The sequence below is a fragment of the Homo sapiens genome, chromosome 15, assembly GCF_000001405.40.
Source record: "Homo sapiens chromosome 15, GRCh38.p14 Primary Assembly".
NCBI lineage: Eukaryota > Metazoa > Chordata > Mammalia > Primates > Hominidae > Homo > Homo sapiens.
This window is the reverse complement of record NC_000015.10, coordinates 21986566-22003912: the sequence shown is the minus strand read 5'-3', so window position 1 is coordinate 22003912 and position 17347 is coordinate 21986566. Positions and strand designations below refer to the sequence as shown.

General features: G+C 37.6%; 1 long non-coding RNA gene across 1 annotated transcript in view; it reads right to left on the bottom strand.

Moving 5' to 3' along the window:
* OR4M2-OT1 (OR4M2 overlapping transcript 1) overlaps positions 1 to 13833 on the bottom strand; it is a 105539-nt gene extending 91706 nt beyond the window's left edge. The window contains exons 1-3 of the long non-coding RNA NR_110480.2: positions 13762 to 13833; positions 10901 to 11058; positions 2139 to 2247 (exon numbers count right to left, since the gene is read on the bottom strand). This is a non-coding gene — a long non-coding RNA (OR4M2 overlapping transcript 1). The remainder of the gene's footprint in view (positions 1 to 2138; positions 2248 to 10900; positions 11059 to 13761) is intronic.
* Between the last annotated feature and the right edge of the window lie 3514 nt (positions 13834 to 17347).

Sequence of the window (17347 nt, the reverse complement as noted above, 5' to 3'; positions counted from 1 at the left end):
GGAAAATGGAGATGGAACTTGTTCTTTCAGAGATAGGAGGATATTATACAAAGTTAGTGGGAACTGAAATCCCCAAATCAGACTGAAAAAGAGGAAATCAAAAATAGAAAAGGTAGCTGGGAGGGAAAAGGGAGAGAATATGATGCAATTTGGGGAGATGTTAAGAGGTTAACAAAGCACTCTCCTTCTTCCCTAGAAATTCCCACCTGACAGTTAATAACAAGGGAGTCACACCTGTGTGTGACAGAGGGCAGCCAATGGCCATTGTGGAGGAAAGAATCACCGAAAAAAAGGCTTTACTCTTGCTGCACGATAAAGTGGAAAAAAAAATCCTTCCTGAGAAATTTCAACCTTGTCTCTGCTGACTTCCATTTTCTCTGCTCAGAGGTAAACAGCCGCTAGATAAGCCTTGTGGACAAGGTGGAAGAGCAAGTAAGTAGAAACTGACAGAGCAGAAAGCAGAAATGAAGAATCTCTCACACAGAGAGACTCTGCCCCTCTCCAAGGGAAGCCAGAGGCTTGAAGCCAGGCAGGGATTAGGTGGCATTTAAGAGGAATCTGTGTGTTAAGACTTGCCACAATTTAACTGCTCAAGTAAGGAGCTGTCATTTGTGGATAATGTAAGTATGCTTCAGGTGATACTATCAAACTTGATTTCCTGAAAGCAAAGGACCACTGCATAGCTCAGAATTCTATATTCCTAGGATCTCTACCTCAAAACCATTGCGTCTTCTTGGTCTGAGATTTACCCCAGCCTCTGAAATCTCCCTGAATGCTAGAATAGAGAGGGAAGCCCAAGAATAACAGGGCATGCTATTTGACACAGTCAGGGCTCAAGAAACGGACTTTGAAAAATGTGAGGAAATAGCCATGGAAATAGGATGATGGAGCACCAAATGTATTGAATGATATCCACAATGAGGTGGATGGCTTTGCAAGGTTGAGTCATCTAGATGATTCATTCCCAGGACCTTCTCAGGCCTCCTCTGAACTTTTCACTGAAATCTGAGGCATGTACACTACTCATGCTCCAGCTCCCTTTGAAGAGACATTATTACTCAAGGAAAGGCAGCTTCTGTGCTTCCAGAGCCAGCTTTCTGTGGTCACCCAGCAATGTTATCTCAAGAGAAAGACACAGAAATCCATGTCCTTTGATAGAAAATCCTCCTTTGCTCAAGGGCATGAGTTACTGAATAAGTCCAAGGAGGGTGACACTTTTCATTCTTGTTTGATGTCTGTCATTCTCAGAGCACCAGCCTGATCTGCCTCTTTCCATCTTTTCAGGGACCCAGATAGGGGACACATGATTATTGCTGATTTCATAATAGGCAACTGGAGGCTTTACCATGAAAGATGAATAAGTAAACAGTGCAACTTGGAGGTAGGGCTGGCCACCTACCACTTGGTGGCCAACGCAGGGACTGCTCACCTCCTGCTGCTGTTTCTGGAGCCTGTTGATCAGCAGCAGCTGCACAGCTACCACCGCTTTACCCGGTAGCTTCAGAAGGAGGACTATTTTGATTTACCCCAAGGTGAGGTTGAGTGGGATGCCTTCTGTGAGTGACTTTGGAGAAGGCTAAGGAAAGCCAGATGAGAAAGAGAGGATTAGAAGCTGTGAGAGGTTTAACCAGGCAGAAATCTCTCCCAGCAGGGGCCTGGATTGCCATCACATCACTGAAGGGAGGGCTCACAAAAGTGGTCTGCAGGCAGTGCTTACTCCAAGCCCGCTTTTTACACTGAAAATGATAGTTGAAGACAACATATTTGAAAGCACCTGCAAACAAAGTTCTTTCAAAAAACAGTTCTGATACCCTGCTAGTCCTCTCACACAAGGCATTCCCTTAAAAAAGAATATGCAAAAATGGGTTGGAGAATGCTATGTGCATTTTTCAAAATGAATTCCTTCTGCCTCCACTGAAAGCAATGTGTTCACTTGTTTGATAAAAAGCTACTTTATTCCAGAGGAATGAGGCAAGAATCAATGAGCTACTTGTCAGTGTTCTAAAGCTAAATTGCAAATTCAGAGTTTCTCTAATTCATGAGGTTCTCACAATAGTAGTATTGCATGAGTGAGAACAATAGTTGTGATCCTGTATTACATATGAGGAATCCAAGCACATAAAGATTAGGTGACTTACCACTGTGGCACAGCAAACTGGATCTGGTGCTCATCCTCTGAGTCACAGTCCAGGGCTCTGTACTCTCTACTGTCTTCCGCTTACCTCCAACTGATGACAGCTTACCTTGCTACGGAGTTAAATGGGCAAAAACGAGGTAAACATCTTAAAAATACACACACGTTATCTATTTCTGAGAATATTTTCACAAATTTACAGAGATTTTGCATAAAATTATAAGTGCCCCCAAACAGAAGGATAAAGTACATTGATAAAAATGGACTATAATGTTCTCATTAAGAATCATGTTTCAAAGAACACATAGTGCTATGGGGAAAGACACATGATATATTAAACAAAAGTATTAACAAAACTGCATGCACTACGATTCCAATTTTGAAAATAATTACATAGATATCTAATATACGAAATACAGAGAAACAGAGGAGGCTAGAAATGGTCTTAGAAATGGTATTGTGGATGATTTAAACTTCCTATACTTTCCTGTGTTATTATTTTTTTCTAAAATAAGCACATGTTGTTTTCATAATATTAAAATAAATTCTCTTTTGTAAATGGAAACCTTAGTGTAGACTAATTAGTTTAATTCTCTACTTTTTGTTGGCATGACATGAGCTTGAGAGAAAGTATAAATGTCTAAATCTGGAAAAACACAGCAAAAAAAAAAAAGGTAAAAAGTCACTGCAAACAATTTCAGAGACCATCTGTTAGACAAATGGGCCAAAGAGGGCTTCTTTATATAGCCCCCCTAGGGTGTTTACTTCTTTACAGTAAGCTGAATCCTGTTAACTCAAATGCCATAGATAAGATAAATTCTGGGGCTGTAAAGACCCCAAGTTGCTGCTGTACTTTGGAGCTCTCTGACACAGAGTCCACACTGGGCTACTCAGCAACATCACCTAGACAAGCAAATCTCTCTCTTATCGCCCTCTCCCCTGAGCGCTCTCTAGTCCTCCTCCCCTTCTGGATAGAGGCCTGATGCCATAGCCTCTAAAAGGTAATGCATTGAGGGACTATCCCTGCATGAAAAGCTATCTAAGCAGCTCCCCCAGGAAAACTGCCACCTCAGGGTCAGCTCCTCAAGTTTTGGCTCAGAAAGTGAAAGACTTCCACACACATTGCTTCAGGGGAAAAAAAAAAATTAGCAATTTATTCCTTAATAGAGTTGGAGTACTTGTAGTCCTGTGGCATAACCCTGGGACTTTGCTGACCACAAGTCCAGTATTTCATCCCCCCTCCCTTTGTCTGCTGTCAACTAGTGTTCCTTAGAAAATATTATTATTGTTATCAATGTTAATAAAACTTCACGTTCTAATTAGCCTTAATATTTTCCATTACAGTTTTTTATGTTGTTGAAATCAACCTGAATGGTTTTTTTCTTGAAATATCTTAGATCGTATCATGGAATTTCAAGATTGAAAGAAATTTGCATCTGATGCTTAGATACCCTCTCCCACTTTCCCAACCTATATCTGACAAAAGCAACTGATAGAAAGTATTGTTCTTCAGCTCGTTCCATCATTGCATATATTTCTCTGTTAAAAAGTAAGTCTCCATGATGAATTAAAATGTGTCACCCTATAGAATTATAGTAATTCTGTACTTTAGAGATTAAATGGGACAAATTCAATTGCTTTATTAAATAATTACCCTTCATTTGTTTCAATAAAACTTTTTGTTCTCCAATTTAAATATCCCAATTCCTTCTACTGTTACTCATTTTCCGTACTTCTAAGTCCCCTCTAGTTGTTCTTCGCCAAATTCACTATAGTTTGACAATGTACTTCTTAAGTGAAACTAAAATGACAAATTCATGAAACAAGTGGGCAAATAGTTTAAAGTTAAGTACCACTAAAACAGATATTGATCCAAAAATCTCAACATAAGTACAGAACCCTTGGGGCTGGCACATGTGCAGAATTGTAGAAAGAAGGGAAGAGATAGATAAGCCTTTGAAGCATTTTGTAAATTCTTTGCCATAACTGACTTCTGTCTTTATATCCTTGGACTTCATAGAACCCCTTGTTCTTACATTTTCAGTCCTAAATCCAGTATCATCTATTTTGTGGGAAAACATAGCTATGTTAGTATAAAAACATATATCAAGGCTTCCAATTATATTTGATATTCTGATTCAGGCTTAAGGTCAACTGATTATTCAGATTAGACCCAAGCCTCATCATCTTTCCCTTTTTCCCTAAAGGCTGAACCAATTAAGATCTCAGTTAAGAAACACTTTTTGAGATCTTCCCAAAACTTTCTCACTGTTATCCCTAGATGAGTCCACTTGGAAATGTTGGATGATCCAGAAGGGTCAAAAATAAACCTTGGCACATTTATTTAAAAATGAAGCAGGTGGAGACTGGAGGTCAGCAGTGAAGACTGAGTGTACACACAGCGTGCTCTTAGTCACCACTCCTCCAAGAGGAGCTGTCCAGGGTATGATAGCCACGGCTCAAAATGTGTCTGCTACATACTCTCCTAAAGAGTCAGGTGTAATCGTTGCTTCCTAAATCAGGAAAGACTGCAGTGCCCTTTACATCTGCTTGTAACCACAATATGGTTATTGGGTGGGCTCCAAATAACTGCTATACTTGATAATGTTACCTTCCAACACTGACCCTTTTAAAGGCCTTCTAAGAAATTTTGGATGTGAGCGCCACTGTGTTCCTCTTTGCTGAACACTTTCTCAAATGGGAGACCAAGGAAGATGAGGTTGACTCATGTATTCCAGCAGACAGAAACCTAACTTTAGATGTCTACTCTCTACATGTTTCTATAATTCTCACACAACAGCTTCAGATAAGGCACAGCTCAGATTTTTTTCATGTCTTTTCCACTTTCCTTTAACCCTGTGTTGCATTTGGAATCAATCACAATCTTGAAAGACACAGTTCCAAACACCATAATCGAATGTTGAAAATCAAAAGAACAAAATCCTTAAAGTCTAAAATTCCAAAAATCGCCATCCCAAAAGACTGAAATCCTGAAAATTTAATTCTGGAAAAAATAATTTTAAAAATTCTTTAAGATATATTTATTTACATTTTTAAAAGGTATTTATTTGAGTAACATATAAAAACACAAAAATAAAAACACAGCAGAACACTTCAAAGATCACCTTACACAATAAAATAAGCGATAACATACATTTTTGCAAGCATAAACATTCAGGCCTTCTATCAACAGTCACACAAGTATAAGAGTTATAAACAGATGAACTATATTCATGAAGAAATAGGTCAAAAGGTGAAATATGTAAATGCATATCATTGTGGTTGGTAATTGTATGCACCCAGCTCTATAACTGTAGTCTTCTGAAATACTATGATAGACAACATAAGTATTTTCATGATACTGATTAATCACCACCACAACAGTCACCTAAAGAACCAAGATCTCAAGAAATAATGTTTTAAATGTTTCTGTAGTACTGTAAGGTGAATATAGTTAACTATAATTTATTGTGTATTTTTACAAAGCTAGAAGAGAGGATTTTGAATGTTCACAAGACAAAGAAGTGCTAAATGCATGAGGCGATGTGCTAATTACCTTGATTTGATCACCCCATATTGTCTATGTGTATTGGACTAGTACTCTATATCTCATAAATATAATTATTACATGTCAACTAAAAATAAAAGGAAAAATATATTTTTAAAATGTTAACTCAAAAATCTTAGCTTAATAGTTGTAAAGAAAGAAGACTCTCCCATCAGAGTGAAGTGGGAGTGATCTTGCTTCAGGAAATGAAGCTGCATCAGCATAACAGGACTTTGACCTGAAGTCCTAGCTGCTGGCTGAAGCAGCCACTGAGGAGCCTTTGACAGCAAAATCTGTAAAAAACATTGCGTGATAGGCACACCTAATCGTTAAAGATAAAAACAATACATAGGTACACGAAGACATTCGTTGTATCTCATATTTTCTATAAATGTTCTAAGGAAATGTACTTGTTGCCTAGAGCTCATTTAAGAAACAAGGTTCTCTTCAGTGCAGCATGTGCTGTTTTAGGAACCCTGCCAGTGTCCTTCCAATAGGACCAATGCTCTAAAATCATCACATAAATAAAGTGTGACAAGAGTTTCAGCTTCTTGGTTTCGTACTCCTCCCTCAGACATACTCTACTTTGTACGTTTACATTTCCTCTTATCTATCTCAATTCTTCAAGCTTCCTCATTGAAAAATAAGCCCTGGAGAATGAATGGAATATGTAAATAAATGAAACATCCACCAGTAGATTATTGTTAAGAACTGTAGTATGTGTACATGATAGAATGCTTCCCCGTATTAAAGTAAATATTTTTAAAGATTATCCCAAAATATGGGTAAAGACTTAAGATAGGCTATTAAAGTGATAAAAATAGAATAAAAAGTAGAATTCAAAATTAGTCATAATATGATTCGAAGTAGAAAAAATAGGAGTAATGCAGCAAAGTATTAGTAACAATTTGATGTAAATGAACTGTGCCATTAATAATTTTTCTATATTTTTCATATTTGTCCATTTTTTGTTTCATTTTCTAAATAGTTACTTAAATTGTGCAAAATTTTCTCTACAGTATAAATGTCTACCAACAACTCAGAGAGAAAATGTCCTACAGTGGCATGTAACTTCAAATGATCCAGACCTTTACATAAGTGCTAAAAAGTGTTAATGGTGTCATTTCTGGGAAGGAGGTGCCCTAGAAGAGGGAAACAGACTGGATTCTCAGGCCTTTAAGGTTGTCTTCTTGAGACAGTCTCAGTGTCCTAACTATCAGAACCGTGTATGGAGCCGAGACCCAATTTGCATATTTCAACAAGCTTAATTTTCTCAACAGTTATGGCTTTCACTTTCCCCCATCTTCTTCCAGCCATCTCTATTTATACACCCAAGAAACTTTCAGATTTTCCTTAGTTTCCTCTCATAACACAAACGTGCCTGAGATGTTATCAGGCACATTTATCATTCACATGTCTCTTGAAGGCGTTCAGAAGAAATGAATGGTATCCTTTCTCCTGGAACTGCATCCCACCCTGGAAACCAAATGCTGTTTACATTACTCTTATAGGATTTTTCCAGACATATGATAAAAGAAAAAACTTCAGCTGAATTAAATTTAAAGGAGTTGAATTGAGCAATGAATGATTCACAAATCAGGCAGCCCCCAGAATCACAGCAGATTCACAGAGGCTCCAGCACAGCCATGTGGTGGTAAATTTATAGACAAACAAAAGGGAAATGACATACAGAAATCAGCAGTGAGTTACAGGAACAGCTGCATTGGTTACAGATTGGCATTTGCCTCATCAGTGTATTAATGATTGAAGTATGGCCACTGAGATTGGCTAAGACTTAGCTATTTGTTGCAGGTGCATACTCGTAAGTTAGGTTTTCAATTTTGTCTGCCTATTAAGCTAGGTTACAGTTCATCCACAAGGATTCAAATATGGAAGTACAAGTCCTTCTCAGGCCATATTTAGTTTGCTTTAACACCTATGAGCTTAATACCGACAAAGTGAACACTATTTCCTCATATCATACAAAACCAAAAGTGTTGAAACTAAATTGTCAGGATCTAATACTCAAATATCATAGTATGATATATTTTCACTTTCCCATGGTGTTCTTTCCCTCCTTTCATATATTCCTTCACTCTTATTTTTTAGCATATTCATTCATCACCCAAAACTTCATCTTATGTGCTAGGTGTTGGGCCAAGGCTTGGAGGAACAAAGTGATGCAAAATACTGATAGACTTTTTAAAATGCTTATTGAGTCAGAGGGGCATGAGATTCTGCATTTCTTTTTATAGATATATATACTTTAGGTTCTGGGATACATGTGCAGAACGTGCAGGTTTGTTACATAGGTATACACGTGCCATGGTGATTTGATGCACCCATCAACCAATCATCTACATTAGGTATTTCTCCCAATGCTATCCCTCCCCTAGCCCCCCACCCCTGAAAAGCCCCCAGTGTGCAATGTTGCCCTCCATGTGTCCATGTGTTCTCATTGTTCAACTCCCACTGATGAGTGAGCCAACATGCGGTGTTTGGTTTTTTGTTCTTGTGTTAGTTTGCCGAGAATGATGGTTTCCAGCCTCATCTATGTCCCTGAAAAGGACATGAACTCATCCTTTTTTATGGCTGCATAGTATTCCATGGTGTATATGTGCCACATTTTCTGTATTCAGTCTATCATTGATGGGCATTTGGTTTAGTTCCAAGTCTTTGCTATTTTGAACAGTGCTGCAATAAACATACTTGTGCATGTGTCTTTATAGTAGAATGATGTATAATCCTTTGGGTGTATACCCAGTAATGGGATCACTGGGTCAAATGGTATTTCTAGTTCTAGATCCTTGAGGAATCACCACACTGTCTTCCACAATGGTGGAACTAATTTACACTCCCACCAACAGTGTAAAAGCATTCCTATTTCTCCACATCCTCTCCAGCATCTGTTGTTTTCTGACTTTTTAGTGATCACATATGCAGAAAGCTGAAACTGGATCCCTTCCTTACATCTTACACAAAAATTAACTCAAGATAGATTAAAAACTTACGTGTAAGGCCTAAGCCCATACAAACCCTAAAAGAAAACCTAGGCGATGCCATTCAGGACATTGGCATGGGCAAAGACTTCATGACTAAAACACCAAAAGCAATGGCAACAGAAGTCAAAATAGACAAATGGGATCTTATTAAACTAAAGAGCTTCTGCACAGCAAAAGAAACTATCATCAGAGTGAACAGGCAACCTACAGAATGGGAGAAAATTTTTGCAATCTATCCATCTGACAAAGGACTAATATCCAGAATCTACAAAAAACTTAAACAGATTTACAAGAAAAAAACAAACAACCCCATCAAAAAGTGGGCAAAGGATGCGAATGGACACTTCTCAAAGAAGACATTTATGCAGCCAACAAACATGAAAAAAAAGCTCATCGTCACTGGTCATTAGAGAAATGCAAATCAAAACCACAATGAGCTATCATCTCACACCAGTCAGAATGGAGATTCTGCATTTCTAAAAGTCTCCAGCTGACACTGATGTTGCCGGTCAATAGACCATACTTCATGTAGCAATGATCTAGTGATGACCTAGTTAAAATGTCCAAGGAGACAAGTTCCTGAACAAAAAAGCCTCAGAAATATCTCTACCTCACCCACATAATGATGAGAAAAAGTCAGAATTGGGAGTGATTCTTAAAAATCAGTGTTTCTCTCTCAAAGTCAGGTTAAGGAGTAGACATTGCCTGATTTCTATTAAATCCTACTAAGATTCTGCCAGATAGTAGAAAACATTGTAATACAAATTGAAAAACATCTTTGTTCCTGTCATTTATTGATTTATATAACATGTTATTTGTTGAGAACCATGGTGCACTGGGATGTGTGGTACTAATCAGGGATACATGGTGACCTAAACTAGACCTGGAACACTCTTGAGGAGCTTACAATCTAGTATAAATCCTAAACACTGAATAAAATAGCCAGGTAAATAAATGCCAAATTAATCATTCAGTAAGTGTTATAAAGGAAAGGTACATTAAGGCCTAACATGATTCAATGGAGGTGGCGCAGGGAACTCTGTCTCACTCTTCATACCATAAAAGGCTTCTTGAGAAAGGAATGCTTGAGTTGAGACCCTAGAAAAATGAATAACATACTTTAAATAAAGGGAGATGAGGGTGAAAAGTGGATTTCAGGCACAGAGAATAGAATATGACATGATTTCATCTCCCTTTTTGAAACAGTAACTGTGGCCACGGTAGTGAAGAGTTTAGAGAAGGACAAGGGTAAATGTGAAACTAATTATGAGGCAAGTATATTTGTTTTTGTTTTTTTGTGTATTTTTGCAAGACAGGATGAATTTTATTCTGTTTTTAAAATAAGTAAATTTATCTTTGTTCTTTGGAAGACCTCTAGTAAAGAATAAATGTCATGACATGTTAATCCTTAAAATTGTTATAGTTGCTCAAAAAAGAAACTCAAAAACTAAAATTGGATCCTATCAACCCAGATAAAACACTGAAAATTATGAAACTTTCACTCAAAATACAGTGATAACTGCAGAAAAGCAGCAACTATTTAATCATGCCCACCAACAATGTGCAGTGTCCTCCATGGGCCAAACACACTCCAGGTGGCGGCCATGGATGGAGGGGAAGAGGACTGGGGTTTTCTATGGGGTGATGGCAGTGTTTTGGAGCTCAAAAGAGGTGGTGGTTGCACAATGTGAATGTGCTGAATGAGGCAAGTATATTTGAAAAAGATGGAGGCAGTCAGTAGAGGTGGTGGTAGAAATTGAAGGAAATGCATATTATTACATATTTGGGAAGTAAAATGTATTTAAAGATTGGAAATGGAGGTGAACGGTTAGAAAGATGGTCAGATACCTTGCCATGGCGCCTCACCCTAATACTTCAGTGCATGCCAGCCTGACTTCCAGCATTCACCCCTGCATTTCCTTACCTGAGGGCTTTCTCTGATCACAGAAGCCGCTTTTGCTGTCCCTGCTGCAGGTTGGGCATGCTGAGGAATCAATGCCGCTAGGAGACAGTCCATAACTAATGACTATCAGAAACTGTTGTACGAATACCCTTTATCTCTCAGCATGTTTCTGAGATGAGTTATCTACACTGGATCTCAGAGTTATTCCAAGTTTAATCCACAGTTATCCATTCTGGTAACTGCTTCATAGTTCACTCTTTATAAGGGTCTTTGCCCCACTTCCCAGTTCTCCTACCAGAGATTCTGATACCTACCAAATGAATCACCTGCAGGTGAATCTTAGTCTCTGGATCTGCTTTCAGGGTAGCACTGTAGTCAGATGAATGGGAATCCATTCTCTCAGAAATGCAAGAAGGGAATGTGGTTTGGGAAAGTTCATTAGATCAATTTTGGAGTTGAGTTTGAGGTGCCCCTGAAACATTCAAGTAAAACTATCATCCAGCAGTCAAATATTAATACCATGTAGCAGTTGTCATCTGGAACTCTGAGGATGCAATTTGTATTAACAATTTGATATACTCATTGGCAAATAAGTAATAACCAAAGCTTTGGAGAAGAAAATGACCTAGACAATAGTATAGCATTGAAAGATGTGAAGGCCTGGAACTCAGCCTCACAGAGCTTCAGAATTTAATGGCCAAATAAAGGAAAAGAAGCCCACAAATCAAATAGAGGAGTTGTAGCCAGAAATGTGGGAGTTTTCTGGGCAATCAGGAGGCAAAGTAGAATAGAGTTGACACTGAAGCCAAAGGAAAAAATGTGTTGGAACAGCAGTGCTGAATTCTGCTGAGAAGAGATACGTCTTGAAAAAAAAATGTCCATAAGACTTAGACACATGAATGTTATTGGTGATTTCTGCAATGGCCATTGCAGGGTTATGATGGGGAAGGAACCATATTTAAATATATTGAATGTGAGGCAGGCATGAAGAAGAGATGAGGCTTTCTTGCTGTGTGTTAAGCATGCCAGCCATCCCCCTGCCTTGTGGCGCCTATACATACCATCTCCTCTGCCTGTAATGCTCTTTTGCTAGATATTTATATTTCTTGCCCCAACACTTCCTTCAAGTCTTTTCTCAAATATCACCTTCTCAGTGAGGCCTTCCCTGACTAGCTATTGAAAATTACACCCAGTGGGGATGGGGAGATATTGGTTAAAGAGTTCAAAGTCTCAGCTAAACAAGATCAATAAGATCTGGAGATGTACTGTATAGCATGGTGACTGTAATTAATAATAACATATTGTTCAGTTGTCTCTTTATATCTAGGGGAGACTAGTTCCAGCTCACCCTGGAGACAACAAAATCAGCAGATGCTCAACCGCCTCATATAAAATGGTGCAGTATTTGCATATAACTTACACACATCCTTCCATGTAGTTTAAATAATGTCTACATTTCTTATAGTAGCTAAGACAATGTAAATGCTACGTAAATAGTTGTTATACTATATATTTGAATTATTTTTTGTCATATTGTTATTTTTATTTTTTTCTAAATATTTTCCATCTGTGATTGATTGAATCTGCAGATGCAGAACCACAGATACTAAGGGCCAAAAGAATACTTGAAAATTGCTAAGAGAGTTGATCTTAAATGTTCTCACAACAATAAAATGGCAAGCATGTGAGGTGACAGATATGTTAATCAGTTTGATTTAATCATTTTGCAATGTACACATATATCAAAATATCACCTTGTATACCATAAATATGTACAATGTTTTCAAATTAAACCTTAATTAAGCTGAGGGAAAAATGTACACCTGCCACCTGTCACCTCCAACACACACTTCCTATTGACCTGAACCTTCTAATTTTTCTCCATCTTTACTCATCGCCCCCCAAGCATGCCACATAGTTTATTTACCCCGTCTTCCCCCATTACAATATAACTTCCACAAGTCAGGAATTTTTATCCATTTTGTTCACTGCTGTATTCATGAGTATTTATAGTAGTGTCTGGAATGTTAACAATTATTATTGTTGAATTAACTAATCAATTATTAATATTTTAAAAATATAAATAAACATGTATATTACATTTTGCATTTAAATGCCATTAGAGCCCAACTATAAATATAAGTATAGATGGAAGGGGAAACCTTAAATGGTTTTATCCTTATATTCTTTTTGCCAATATGTTTTCCCACATTTCTCTACAATAAACTTCTACACCTTTATAATATTGAGAGTAAATATTTCTTAAGAAAAATTAACCTTAAGAGAGAGCTCAAAAAAATAAATAATTCACAAAAAACTGCTGTGAAGGCTATGCATGGAAAGGGCAGAAGGGAGATGGAGGGATTGCAGAGACCTGTGGGCTGAGTCTGAGCCTCAAGGCTTTTTCAGCATGAAACTCAGCAAAGACAGGTGTTAAAAAGGCCTGCCTCCCACCGCCCCTGCTGTTCACTAAGCTTAGGCAATCAAAGTGTACCAGTGTTTTTTCACTGCCCAGCATATACTGATTTAAGGACTCAACACTCTGACTTGAGAAAACCTAAAACATGAAGTTATCTCAAAGGTGGGTGAGATTCTAAGGAGGCTCAAATATATAGTCCTCAATTAATTCTCACCTCAACTTAGTTACAATCTGATACAACATATTAGGAGACAGGAACAGCACAGTGGTAAAAATCAAACCTCACCTCAAAAGATCATAAATTATTGCTCTCAGATTAGTATTAACTGACACAATATGTGCAGTGAGTATCTTCTCTTCCTCCTCCCGAATTACAGAAGAGAACGTGAAAGACTAGGAGCCATACACATTACCCCAGGGAAAGCAGAGTGAAAGGGCAGTCTGGGTGTCCTTAACTGCACCACTCACAGAGGGGGCCTGTCCCACAACCAGCCAGGTTATTTCAACCTATTCTTACCTGACAAAAAGGATCTGGGGGCCTTGGCTCCACTGTAGGTGGGTAATTTTATTCCAACTGGTTTTGGGTGCTAGTTTTCTGCCTAGTGGTCAAATTCAGAAACCCAATCAGGACCTAGGTCTCCACCTGGAGCTCTTAGGTTAGCTAATCAATGTCTTCTTGGTCCTCAAGGAAGGGTTTATTGTTTTTGTTTGCTTGTTTGATTGGTTGTTTGCCATTGCATTAAAATTCTTTCTTACCCAGCAATTGATGAGTTCAAGGCTATCCTGTCACATTTCGTGATGTGGCCTGAGCCCTCCCAGAGTGTTACTGACTGGGACCAACTACTAACTAAAGTTTAGTGAAGAGAAGACAATGAGCTTGCTGGAACGTCACAGAGGCTTGGTTGCCATGGTAGTGATTGTCAGATGAGATCACAGAGAAGGGTGTAAGAGAAAAGAAAGAAAAACATGCAGGAAAAGCTGAAGCATAATATTATACTAAAATATATATATATTATATATATATATTTTATACATATTTATACTGTCTAAACTTACAGTGGAGTAATGTGTTGAAACTTGAGGGGAAAACTACTTTTTGAGAAAGACTGACTTTCCAGCATCTTCTTAGAGAGATGTGGTTTCATGGAAGAATGGTGTCTGAGCTACATTTTGTCTTATTCTAAAAGTAAAAGGAATGGGACTGATCTGGAAGCACATAGATTCCAGATCAATACTAATACCAGACTATTGTAATGCCAATTTATAAAAGGAAGCTAGGTATCCATTAAAATAACAGAAAATCAACAGGTATTTTTTGTAACAGATCATTGAGTTGGATGTGAAATGGTTTAAAGCTTTAACTATTCCAGGGGCTCCTGCAAAGTGTAAACTTAGTGTTTTCTTGAGTTAGCACTGAAAGGAGAGCAGGATTGAGGGACAAAAGAAGCAATCCAGTCATCTAGTAATATGACTCTGGATGATGTTTGCTCTAAATTGCTCCCAGCATCAGTATGTGGAAGGTGGACAGTGTGTGTGAACTTCAAAGCCCCCGCAGGGCTTCAGTTGGCTTGAATAAAATGTTACTGGTTATCCTGCCACCTTGTGGCTATGGGCCAACATGCCAGGGTGTGGAGAAGGAAGGGAGGAAATTAATGAATCACAGAGTTGCCTGACTGAAGAAGGAAAGCTCAGAAACACATCCTCTTCTCTCTTCCCTATAGATGTCAACTTGCCCATCACTTGATTAGCTAAAAGTGAATAGGGCTTAAAGTTCAGTCCTTGAATGAGATTTTGCTTATATAGCCCTCCTAGGACTTTTGTCCTATCAGAGTAGCTTGTTGCACAGTGTGCTCCTTGTGATCAACGGTTAGTTAATCTTGTCTCTCCAAAATCTAAAGTTTAAATCCTTATTCATTAAATCAGACTGTTTATCAAGTATAGTGCTTTACTAACGAGATTATTTCAGAAACAAGCGAACAAAACAATAAGACGTATGCTGTTTGTTTTTTGAGACAGGGTCTTGCTCTGTTTTCCAGGCTAGAGTGCAGTGACACAATCACGGCTCACTGGAGCATTGACCTTGTGGCTCAAGCAATCCTCCTACCTCAGCTTCCCAAGTAGCTGGGACCAAAGGTGTATACCAACACGCCCAGCTAGGTGTTTTTATGTCTGTCTGTTTGTTTGTTTTATTTTGCAGAGATGGAGGTCTCCCCAGGTTGTCCAGGCTGGTCTCAAACTCCTGGGCTCAAGTGAACCTCCCGCCTTGGCTTCTCAAAGTGCTGGGATTATGGGCGTGAGCCACTACACCTGCCCAATATTGTTGATCAGAGTAAAGAAAAGACATAAGCACCCAGTAACAGTTAGAAGCCATATTCAGATTAGCTATAATTTTCACTAGAACCATCCCAATCTCTTGAAAGATAAAACATCAAATTAAATGTAGCCAAATCTAATTGCTTCACCTCTGATTTTTTTTAATCACTTGAAAAGGGTAATGGTTCCCTCACATTTTGTATATAAAATCTACTGGCTAGGGGAAGGCTCAGAAACTTGAATGTTAAATAGGATCCCAGGTGATTTTTACACACACTGAAGTATAAAGGTCACTGGACCATTCTAGTGGCCATGGGTCCCCTCTGGTTGGCCTGTAGTTGAAATCTATGGGAACAACTTTCAAACTACCACATCTGAGGAATCAGTGGAGGTTAGGAGGTTACTTTTAGAAGGTGATTGGGAATGTACTCGAATTTGAGATTTGTTAAAGTTCATTATAGTTATCACATATGAAAGAAGCAGCACACATGAGGAAAGGAGAGCTCTGGGGCTCCATGATAATTCAGCATGCCACAAGAGAACACTGAGACACAAATGAAATCACAACAATGATAGATGAGCAAGATAAAAATATTGAAGTAAAGATATAGAAATTTTACAAGAAACAATTAGAAATTCTGGAGCTAAGAATTCTATGACGGAAATAAAAAAAATCACTAGGGGGTGTTCACAAGTAGACTTGATCAAACAGAAGAAGGAATCAGCTAATCCAGACACCAGTCATTTCAAATTACATAGACAAAGGAGCAAAAGAAAAAAGAATAAAAAAGAGCAAATGAACCTACGGACTTAAGGGACATCATAAAGTGAAATAATATACTGATCACAAAAGTTCCAGATGGAGAAGAGAAAAATAAGAAGGAAAGTACAGTGCTGGCTAAAAACTTGCCAAATCTGTAGAAGAAAAAGGACATACAGATACATGAGGCCAAATGGAACTGAAATAAAACAAATTCAAGGGAAGTCCACACAAAGACATATTATAATTATATGTCAAAAGTCAAAAAGAGTGAATTTTGAAGAAGCAAGACAATGCTGAAAGAGAGAAATTCTCAACCAAGAATGCAATTTCTGGAAAAAAATTTTCTTCAAAAATGAAGAATAGATAAAGACTTTCTCAAGCAAAAGCTGAGAGAGACAACTTCATCACCACTAGATTTGTCATAAAATAAATGACAGGTGAGCCCTTTAACTCAAACAAAATAATACTAAATAGCAAAACTAAGCATAACTAAGCATATTAAAATATAAAACTTACTGGAAAAGCTAATTATTTAAACAAATACAAAATTGTGCAACATTGTAATGGTGGTGCACCTTTTTCTAATATGAAAGTCAAAAGACAACAAAGTAGAAATTACTATAACTACAGAAGTATAATAGTAGATATACACATATAAAAGATGTAATTGTGACATCAATAACAAAGTGGGAGAAGTGCATAATTTTTTATGTGATTAAAGTTGAGTTGTTATTAGCTTAGAATAAACTTTGCCTCCATATATATGATGTTTTACATAAGCCCCAAGGTAACCAAAAAAATAAAATACTACAGAAAATATACAAAAGAAAAAGAAAAGGAAATAAATACATATCAATACAAAAATATCAATGAACACAAAAGAAAACAGCAAGAGAAAAAAGAAAGAAGAATTATAACACAGACAGAAAAAATAAAATGAAGTGCCATAGCAAGTCCTTACTTATTAATACAACTTTGTAAATACAGTTGTCCCACAGTATCCATGAAAGATGGGTTTCAAGATCGCCTGTGGATTCCAAAATTTATGGATGCTAAAGTCCTTTATATTAAGTGATATAGTATTTGCATATAACCCATGCACACCATCCCCTATACTTTAAACCATCTCTAGATTACTTATCATATCTAATAGAATGTAAACAGTATATAAATACCTGTTACACCATCTAGTTTGCATTACTTTTATTATTCCATTTTTTATCATTGTTATTTTTATGGGGGTGTGTGATTTTTTTTATGCATGGT